The following is a 10,575-nucleotide window of genomic DNA, read 5'->3' as shown; positions in this document are numbered from 1 at the left end:
AAGGGTAGGTCTCTCAGGAAGAGGCATTTCACCCAAGAGCTAAGGAGGAAAGGGGAGCCCACCATATTTGTGCCTGGGGAAGAGCGTTGCAGGCACAGGGAATGGCAAGGTCGGAGGCTCTGAGCAAGAGAGAACATGGCGTGTCTGTGTAAGGGAAAGGACCGAGAGGACAAAGAGAAGGAAGCCACTTGGCGCACAGTGGGAGGAGAACCTCAGGGCTAGCTTTCAGGGCTGTGGCAGGGAGTTCAGGTTGTATTCTAAGTGCACTGGGAAACATTGCAACGTTAAAACCGAGTGTGACACGGTTTATCTTTTAAAAAGCTTACTCTGAGGCTGGGCACGGTGGCTCATGCCTGTAATCCCAGCACTTTGGGAGGCCGAGGCGGGTGGATCACCTGAGGTCAGGAGTTCAAGACCAGCCTGGCCAACATGGTGAAACCCCGTCCCCACTAAAAATACAAAAAAATTAGCCAGGTGTGGTGGCGGGCACCTGTAATCCCAGCTACTTGGGAGGCTGAGGCAGGAAAATCGCTTGAACCTAGGAGGCAGAGGTTGCAGTGAGCTGAGGTCTCATTATTGCACTCCAGCCTGGGAGACAAGAGCGAAACTCCATCTCAAAAATAAAATAAAATAAAAATTAAAAAAAAAGGTTACTCTGGCTATGAACCCTACCATATATTATCCTGCCCATACCTGTGGATTCTCGTTCAATGTGGGGCTCTGGGGGACCCAAGAAGAATCAGCCAGGGTCCCTGCCCCTAAGAGGCACTCAGCTCTTCTCCCTGCCACAACTTCACCCCCAGATGAGTCCCCCTCCTCTGCCCTACAACACTGACACAGTCCATTGATCCACTGGAAACTAGTTTATTTTTGATCAGTTTTTCAGGGGACAGGGCTGGAGTGGGGTGGGAGGTGGCTAGGCTCTGAAGCTTGGTTCTAGGATTGTTAGTTCTCATCCTCAGCACTGCGGCGGCCGAAGTCCATCCATCCATAGGCTTCTTCTTCTTCCTCCAGCCATGGTCCCTGCTTCTTGGACGGGTCTGAGGAGGTGAGAGAGGCGAGAATGGGGGAAGGATGCCTACCTTCCAGGAACTGAAGTCAGAGCCAGTCTGGGGAGACCTTGGCCAAACCTGGCCAAGTGAGGCAAGCAGGGCAGTCAGCAGCTCCTACCTGCCACGAGGTGTGGGGGACCCTGGGGTCCCAGCTGCCTTCGATGATGAGAGGCTGGGCCCTGCTGCTCCAGCCAGGGTAGCTCCAGGTCCCTGTTGGCCCCTGTACCTAAGGGTGCATCTGGCTGCTGGGAGCGGGGCTTCCAAGAAGCTTCAGAGAAGGCGGCCAGAGCCAGTGCAAAGATCAGCACATACACACACAGTCGCTGCATCTCGTCTGCAAAGGGGAGAAGGGACTAGCTTAAGGGTGAGGCTGTCCCCACAGAGGCCCAGAGGCAGGGGACTGAACCATGTGGCTCCAGGCCTCTACCTGCTGATGAGTGTGCAATTCTTTCTTTTTTTTTTTTTTAGACAGAGTTTCACTCTTGTTGCCCAGGCTGGAGTGCAGTGGTGGGATCTCGGCTCACTATAACCTCCGCCTCCCGGGTTCAAGTGATTCTCCTGCCTCAGCCTCCAGAATATCTGTGACTATAGGCACGTGCCACCATGCCTGGCTAATTTTTGTAATTTTTAGTAGAGATGGGGTTTCACCATGTTGGCCAGGCTGGTCTCGAACTCCTGACCTCAGGTGATCCACCCGCCTCGGCCTCCCAAATGCTGGGATTACAGGCATGAGCCACCGCACCCGGGTGAGTCTGCAATTCTGTGTGGAGTTGTGGACTATTTCTTCAGATCAGTTCTCCAGTTTCTGCCAGTTCCACACCAGCCCCGAAGTCTTGTGTTTTTTCTCTTTACCTACCCCGATTACAGCCACTGCTTCTATTGGAGAAAGTCAAATCCTAGGGCAATGGTTTCCCTAGGTTCTGTTCTGCAGAATTTGAGGCCATGTTAGTGGTTCTGTAGCTGTTTAAGTAATGTAATTTATTTATTTATTGAGACAGGGTCTCACTCTGTCGCCCAGGCTGCAGTGCAGTAGTGCAATCACTGCTCACTGCAGCCTCTACCTCCTGGGCTCAGGTGATCCTCCCACCTCAGCCTCCAGAAGAGCTGGGACTACAGGCTTGCACCACCACGTCCAGCTAATTTTTTTTGTATTTTTTGTAGAAACAGGGTTTCACCATGTTGCCCAAGCTAGTCTTGAACTCTTGGGCTCAAGCAATCCTCCCGCCTCAGCCTCCCAAAGTGCTGCGATTACAGATGTGAGCCACTGTGCTCAGCCCAAGACTTGTTATTTAAAGTGAACTTTTTAGGCCAGGCATGGTAATCCCAGCACTTTGGGAGGCTGAGGAGGATGGATCCCTTGAGCCCACAAGTTTGAGACCAGCCTGGGCAACATACTGAAACCCCATCTCTACAAAAAATACAAAAATTAGCCAGGCATGGTGGCATGCACCTGTATTCCCAGCTACTTGGGAGGCCGAGGTGGGAGGATCGCTTGAACCGGGGAGGTGGAGGTTGCAGTGAGCCGAGATTGCACCACTGCTCTCCAGCCTGGGCGACAGAGTGAGACCCTGTCTCAAAAAAACAAAAACAAAAAGTGAAACTTTTAAATAGTAATACCAAAGGAACATGGACATCCAGCTGTGTTACAGACCGCATGTTATCACTTTGGAGACTGCAGCACATTCAATGCTTGGCCAGCTCACACTGATTTTTGTGCAGCCCTGAGAGGAAAGGTTCTCCTGTCATTTTTGCTTAACTGAGGAATATCCTGTGATTATAATGAAGCAGTTAAGAAAAAATTAAGCTGTCACCATTAGCAATTATGTATCAGGGTGAATCAAGTTTGGGGAAAACATAATACAGAACTAAACTGGAATCTCAAACAAACATAAAATTCAAATGCTCATCTATTCCCTGGACTCACTATTTTTGTATGCTTTTGGTCTCACTATTCTGATTGGCTTTATCATAAGAAAATGATAAAAATTTTCTCTTGTCAGAATACATTTGTATTAATAAAATACTGTACTGCTTTTAAGTTTTTCTTTTTTTCTTTTCTTTTTGTGAGACAGAATCTTGCTCTGTCTCCCAGGCTGGAATGCAGTGGCTGGCGTGATCCTGACTCGCTGCAGCCTCGACCTCTTGGGCTCAAGAGATCCTCCCACCTCAGCCTCCTGAGTAGTTGGGACTACAAGTGTGCACTACTATGCCCAGCTAATTTTTTTGTTTTTATTTTTAGTAGAGATGAGGTCTCACTATGTTGCCCAGGCTGGTCTGGAACTCCTGAGCTCAAGCAATCTGCTTGCTTCAGCCTCCCAAAGTGTTGTGATCACAGGCATGAGCCACGGTGCCTGGCCATTAAGTTTTTCATAATCAGGTTTTCTGTTAGGTTTTCTTTGGAAGAAAAGAATTCTGCTGCTGAAGAAATGTTTGAAAAATCAGTGATCTGGAGCTGTATTGTCAGATGCTAACCACATGTGTTGTTCAGTGCTATAGCCACCAGCCACATGTGGCTCTTTACATTTAAATTAATTAAATTAAAAAATTATGGTCAGGTGCAGTGGCTCACGCCTGTAATCCCAGCACTTTGGGAGGCTGAGGGGGTTGGATCACTTGAGGTCAGGAGTTTGTGACCAGCCTGGCCAACATGGTGAAACTCTGTCTCTACCAAAAATATGAAAAATTAGCTGGGTGTTGTGGCAGGCGCCTGTAATCCCGGCTACTCGGGAGGCTGAGTCAGGAGAATTGCTTGAACCTGGGAGGCAGAGGTTGCATGTCACTGCACTCCAGCCTGGGTGACACGGCGAGACTCTATATAAAAAAACAAACAACAACAACAACAAAAACTTCCTTACACTAACCCCATTTCAAGCGCACACGTGGCTAGTGGCTACCATATTGAACAGTGCAGATGAAGACCATTTCCTGCATCATAGGACGTTCTTTTGGATGGCACTGGTCTAGGAAAGGGCTTGAAGTGGGATCCAGGAGCTGTGGATTCCTATCCCAGCCTTGCCTAATAATCCCTGTGACTTTGGGCAAGTCACATCTTGCCTCTGGGCCTCAGTTTTCTTGTCTGAGAGAAAGGAGAAGAACCCCAGTCCTCCTCACCTCCCAGGGCTGGGAAGAGTGTGAAGGGATAGGCTAAGGGCAGGGCCCCGGCTGCGGCAGAAGGGCAGGTGGAAGGCAAGGTTGGGAATACCAGGGTAGGTACTGGAGCCAAGACCTAGTTCCATCCTGGGATAAAGAAAGGGTCCCAGCTCTGGAGACCCCAAGGGGTGAGCCCCAGACTCTGGCCAGTGGCCTGGTACCTTGATGGGGGAGAGGACCTGTCAACCCACTTCCTAGCCTCTCCCCTCTCCTCCTGGGTTTTCTCACCTGCAGAGCTGGGAGGTGTGTGGTGCCACGGCTGGGCCTGGTGCCTCTCAGGTCTCTGCTCTGCTTGATGCTCCAGGCCTGCCTTATAAAGCCCTCAAGGTCCCTCCCAACTGTCCCCCCACCCCGCCCCTACCCTGCCATATGAGTCCAGGCGAGAGGAATGGGGTGGGGCACAGGTACAGCCCATCACCCTGCCCCGCCCTTTCATTTAGTGTCAGTCAGTCATCCAGGATGTGGGGGAAGGATAGGGGAGTTGACCTTCATGGTGAGGGGCTGGAGCGGGGTGGCGGCAGCTCTCCAGCTGTACCTGAGGGGCAGGAACCAAGCTCCCTGGGTCAGGAGCAATGCTTCCCACCATATCCTGGGGGTCAGAGGCCTGGCACTTATCTCTCGAACTACATAGGGACCTTTGTGGGTGGTGGTAGGTGAGGGAGTGAACCCGATGGGCTTAGATTCAGGGAAAGTGGATTTCGCCATCCACTGATGTTTGGCAAGCGTGTGAATGTGGGGTGATGTATTGATTCCCCGTCCCCTCCACTGGACTCTGCAAACATAACGTGTTACCAGGAGCAATGGGTTGTGGGCTGATGGCCCTGTTCTCTCCTTCTAGTGGCTCACATCCTGGTCACCTCTGAAGTCCTTTCACCCTCCCCCTACCATGGAACACCCTTGGTGCCTTCTTCTCCTTAGGCCCTCTGTGCTGGGCTGGGTTTGGCTTGTAGCTGCCCCGTGTCTTCTAGGTCAGCTGCCCATGCACCACCACTTGCAAACCCCCTATGCAGAACCAATTCCTGGAGGGTCCTGCCTTTGAAGCCTCCTTCATTTTGCTTTCAAGGGGAGCTAGTAATCTGCATAACAACTTTTTTTTTTTTTTGAGACAAAGTCTAGTTCTGTCACCAGGCTGGAGTGCAGGAGTGCAGTGGTGTGATCTCGGCTCACTGGAACCTCCGCCTCCTGGGTTCAAGCGATTCTTCTGCCTCAACCTCCCTAGTAGCTGGGATTACAGGCGCACGCCCCCACGCCTGGCTAATTTTTTGTATTTTTAGTAGAGATGGGGTTTCATCGTGTTGGGCGGGCTGGTCTCGAACTCCTGACCTCATGATCGGCCCAGCTTAGTCTGCCAAAGTTCTGGGATTACAGACGTGAGCCACCATGCCCAGCCAACAACTTTTCAGTATCAAAATATACCTTCAAATGGTTAGCAAACAGACTAAAGCATTTGCCAAAGATGGACCAGAAAACAAAATGGTACCTTGTTGACTTATTTGATAAACTGCTGCCTCCACATGGTTTGACCAGATGTAATGAGCCGTAGGCTGTTTTTTACTTTTCCACTGTTGAGAGCAGAGATTTTGCTCCTGTTCATGCGTCATTGGGCCCCCACCTTTTCTGGGAGAGTTTGATCCCCTTGGGTATTGGGTAACTGCAGTGGTACCCATGCTTACAGCCAGCCTTGCTGAGAATTAATGGGTGATGAAGGAAGCAGGCTGTGCGGTGTCCATGGCAACTGACGGCTGAATAACCGTTGTGAATAACCACTCTCATCTAGAGCAGGACACGGTGACTCAGCAGATGGAATAAATGAAAACGACAAAAAGCAGTGCAGGCATTGGTGATAATTAATTGAATCACAGAATCTCAGAGATGAAAGGACTTTGAGGGGGCTTGGGAGAACAGGTGGGGTGAGTGTAGCTCTGTTCATACACTAGGGGAATGAATGAAGACATTCGTGTTGCTATGGTAACACTAATGGGAAATGATAAGTTTTCAGTAGAACCCTGGTTGTACCAGAGCCCAAGACTCAGTTTGTGCCCATGGAGGGGGTTATGCCCCCTTGAATGTTCTTCCCCAGGCTGGTTACATGAGGGATGACAATTTCAACAAATAGAAGCATGTCTCCTATTCCATAGGCAATGGTTAGAATGTCACTATTTGGCCAGGCTTGGTGGCTCACTCCTGTAATCCCAGCACTTTGGGAGGCTGAGGCAGGTGGATCACGAAGTCAAGAGATCGAGACCATCCTGGCCAACATGGTGAAACCTTGACTCTACTAAAAATACAAAAATTAGCTGGGCATGGTGGCGGGCGCCTGTAATCCCAGCTACTCGGGAGACTGAGGCAGGAGAATCGCTTGAACCTGGGAGGCACAGAGAGGTTGCAGTGAGCTGAGATCATGCCATTGCACTCCAGCCTGGTGACAGAGCGAGACTCTGTCTCAAAAAAAAAAAAAAAAAAAAAAAAAGAATGTCACTATTTGCAGACCCTGCCAGGTCTGCAGGGGAAGGGTTGCATTCAGAGATGAGCATCCTTGACCCTGAGGAGCTCCCCAGTCACGGACTGCACGTTCTCCTCATGAGGGGACCTCGTCTGATGGAAAAGGAAGGGTTTCCTGGTCCTGTCTTTTTCCAGCTGTTGAGCTTTGAGCATATTTCTCTCCTTCTCTGAGCTGTTTTCTCCTCTAGGAAATGAGGAAAGTAACTTGGGGAGGAGGGTCTCGTGAAGGTGATGTACATAAAGCGCCCTGCACGGTGCTCAAAACATTGCAGATATTTGGCCGGGTGCGGTGGCTCATGCCTGTGATCCCAGCACTTTGGGAGGCCAAGGCAAGCAGATCACCTGAGGTCAGGAGTTCGAGACCAGCCTGAACAACATGGTGAAACCCCGTTTCTACTAAAAATACAAAAATTAGCTGGGCGTGGTGGCACATGCCTGTAATCCCAGCTACTTGGGAGGCTGAGGCACGAGAATTGCTTGAACCCAGGAAGTGGAGGTTGGAGTGAGCCAAGATTGTGCCATTGCACTCCAGCCTGGGTGACACAGTGAGACTGTCTCAAACAAACAGACAAACAAAAGAGAATATCGCAGGTATTTAATCCATTTTGCGTCTTCTCCCCCATCCTCTCTGGGTCTCAATTAACCACATTTGGAAATAGGAATCATTCATTTGTACCTCATAGGGCTGCAGTGAAGGGAAGAGGTGACAAGGTCTGTGCACACGCTTTATACACTTGGGGGAGTTCTCCTTCCCCAAGGCTTAAAGGAGGGTAATTCCCTAAGCATATCACTCTGTGAATCCAAGGGTTTCCCTCCTGCCAGCTGTGACTCAGAGGGACCTCAGCCCAACTGCCACTGAAAGAGGCAGCAGGGATAGAGTCTATGGAAGCTGGACCTCCTGGTGTACAGGGGGTTTTGGAACTGGTGAGGCCAGGGTTTGAATCATGGCTCTAACACCGACTAGCTGGGTGAGCAGAAAATTCAATTTCTGGGCCTACCAAATTGAAGACCAGATCCCAGACCTTGGGACCCATCTCCGTCCCCCTCGAGGGTGCAGGTGTGTGGGCCCTGCCCCTGTCATCACAACGATAACAATGCCGTGTACCAGGAACTGATAAGCTCTTAGCATGAATGAATGCAATCACTCTTCACCATGATCCTAGGACCTAAGTGCTAGTGTGAACCCCTTCTTCAGAAGAAACTGATGGGTACGGGGGCTTACGCCTGTAATCCCAGCACCTGGGGAGGCCGAGGCCGGCAGATTACTTGAGCCCAACAGTTGAAGACCAGCCTGGGCAACATGGCAAAACCCCATCTCTACAAAAAATACAAAAATTAGCTGGGTGTGGTGGTGCGTGGCTGTGGTCCCAGCTATTTGGGAGGCTGAGGTGGGAGGATTGCTTGAGCCGGGGAGGTGAGGTTGCAGTGAGCCATGATTGTGCCACTGTACTTGGGAGACAGAGTGAGACGCTGTCTCAAAAAAAAAAAAAAAAAAAAAAAAGAAGTAGAAACTAAGGCTTAGACAGGTGAAGTAATCCCCATCCTGAGTCCACACACCAAAAAGGAGAGGTGGGTCTGAAACTCAGGTCTCTATCCTCCCAGTAGGAATGTGGCAGGCAGAACAATCATGTCCCCAAAGATGTTCCTGCCCCAATCCTTGGAACCTGTGAATATGTGATTACATAACAAAAGAGACGTTGCAGGTGTGATTAAGGTTACTGGCTTTAAAATAGAGAGCTTATGCCAAGTGCAGTGGTGCATGCCTGTAGTCCCAGCTACTCTGGAGGCTGAGGCAGGAGGATCACTTAAGCCCAGGAGTTTGAGACCAGCCTGGGCAACATAGTGAGACCCCTGTCTCTGAAAAAAAAAATTAGGGAGTTTATGCTGGATTATCTGACTGGGCCCAGTGTAATCACATAGCCCTTAACTTTCTTCAGCTAGAGGCAGAAGAGATGTGGCTGAAGGTCAGGTCGGAGAGCTGGAGTTATGAGGACTCCACAAGCAATTGCTGGTCTGAAGATGGCAGGAGGGCAACAGGACGAGGAAAGCAGTGGCCTTGAGGAGCTGAGAGGTTCTCCACCGACAGCCAGGAAAGAGGAATGTCAGCCCCGCAACTACAAAGAATGAAATCTGGCCAACAACCTGGATGAGCTTGGAAGTGGATTCATCCCTAGAGCCTCCAGAAAGAAATGCAGCCCTGCCGACCTGATTGTGGCCTTGGGAGATCCTAATCAGGGGACCCCGTGAGCCACTCTGTACCAGGACTTCTGACCTACAGAACCGCGAGAGAATAAATTGCTGTTGTTTTAAGCTTCTAAATTGTGGTGACTTATTATGGTAGCAATCAAAAATGGATACAAGGGATCACAGCCTTGTGAAGGTTTCTGTTTAGTAAAAACTGGCCCAGCATGAATTTCCATGTAAATTTTCAAATACAAAGAAGGGAGCTGTTCTTTGAGTTATTCTGACCATCCGAATATTCCAAATTCATTCCAATTACTGAGCACCTGCTGTGAGCTAGGGTACAGATGAGGCTACTTGGGGATAAGAGGTGAATATGACAGCGCTGGGTGCAGCGGCTCACGCCTGTAATCCCAGCACTTTGGGAGGCTGAGGTGGGTGGATCACTTAAGTTTGGGAGTTCAAGACCAGCCTGACCAACATGATGAAACTCTGTCTCTACTAAAAAATACAAAATTAGCCGGGCATGGTGGTGCACGTCTGTAATCCTGGCTACTTGGGAGGCTGAGGTGGAAGAATTGCTTGAACATGGGAGGCAGAGGTTGCAATGAGCTGAGATTGTGCGATTGCACGCCAGCCTGGGCAACAAGAGTGAAGCTTTGTCTCAAAAAAAAAAACAGGTGACTATGACAGGACAGACCCTTTCATTGCTTTGGTGGAGTTTAGATTCTAGGGGCATAAAAGAGTAACACACGGCCGGGTGTGGTGGCTCACGCCTGTAATCCTAGCACTTTGGGAGGCCAAGGTGGGCAGATTGCCTGAGCTCAGGAGTTCAAGACCAGCCTGGGCAACATGGTGAAACCCTGTCTCTACTAAAATACAAAAAAAAAAAAAAAGCCGGGCGTGGTGGTGTGTGCCTGTAGTCCCAGCTACTTGGGAGGCTGAGGCAGGAGAATTGCTTGAACCTGGGAGGCAGAGGGTGCAGTGAGCTGGGATCGTGCCACTGCACTCCAGCCTGGCGACAGAGTGAGACTCTGTCTCAAAAAAAAAAAAAAAAAAAAAAAAAAAAAAAAAAAAAAAAGAGTAACAGAAAAACAAGGGTCCCCTGTGAAGGAGACTGTTCCCTGAGGAGGGAGAGGCTTCTCAGTGGACCCAGGCACACTCCTGCCTGCCAGGGCTGGCTTTGGGAAACAGATCACTATTGATGAGCTGCAAACCGTTGTCAGGGAGGCAGTGCCTTGGCTTCCTAATTGGTTATTGATGGCAGAAAAGGAAGAGCTTGATGACGACTCAATCATTCTGGCCCAGGCAACCAGGGCTTTGGAGGATGTGGTAGTTCTGGGGACAAACAGTGACACCTGGAAGGTGTTTGCATCAATGAGGGCATCCATGATCCCCCCTGGGGTAGGGGGCTAGGTAGGGGGAGGTGGGTTCTTGGGTTCTGGCCTCAGCTGCTGTCTGAGAGTGGTGACATGGCAGGGCCAAGAGGGCAGCCTGCAAGCTGCTTGCAGACTGGGCTGGAGAGGCTGCCCACCACCCCTGGGCCCAGGCTGGGCTGTCAAGGACAGAGAGTAGTGGCTACCCTTACTCTGGCTTCCGCTTCTCTCCTGAGCCTCCTCTCTCCTTTTCTCCTCTGATGCCCACCTGTGCCTTCGAAGCAGTGGTTCTCAGCCCAGGCTTTGTATTTGGA

At 50.4% G+C, this 10,575-nt stretch overlaps 1 protein-coding gene across 1 annotated transcript, besides 1 other annotated feature; it reads right to left on the bottom strand.

Moving 5' to 3' along the window:
* GAST (gastrin) lies at positions 849 to 4,487 on the bottom strand. The gene is made up of 3 exons (NM_000805.5): positions 4,431 to 4,487; positions 1,171 to 1,386; positions 849 to 1,040 (listed from the first exon to the last, which is right to left on the bottom strand). Exons 2-3 carry the CDS (start codon positions 1,379 to 1,381, stop codon positions 946 to 948), a joined length of 306 nt encoding a protein of 101 aa, NP_000796.1. The 5' UTR covers positions 1,382 to 1,386; positions 4,431 to 4,487; the 3' UTR covers positions 849 to 945.
* Positions 8,122 to 8,649: an enhancer, noted in NCBI's record as "OCT4-NANOG hESC enhancer chr17:39864421-39864948 (GRCh37/hg19 assembly coordinates)". NCBI's record gives its function as "activates a minimal SCP1, AML or CMV promoter by ChIP-STARR-seq in primed H9 embryonic stem cells {active_cell/tissue: H9 hESC(primed)}" and the evidence as "EXISTENCE:reporter gene assay evidence [ECO:0000049][PMID:30033119]".

The sequence above is a fragment of the Homo sapiens genome, chromosome 17 (assembly GCF_000001405.40).
Source record: "Homo sapiens chromosome 17, GRCh38.p14 Primary Assembly".
NCBI classification, from domain to species: Eukaryota; Metazoa; Chordata; class Mammalia; order Primates; family Hominidae; genus Homo; species Homo sapiens.
This window is presented reverse-complemented; position numbering and strand designations above follow the sequence as displayed.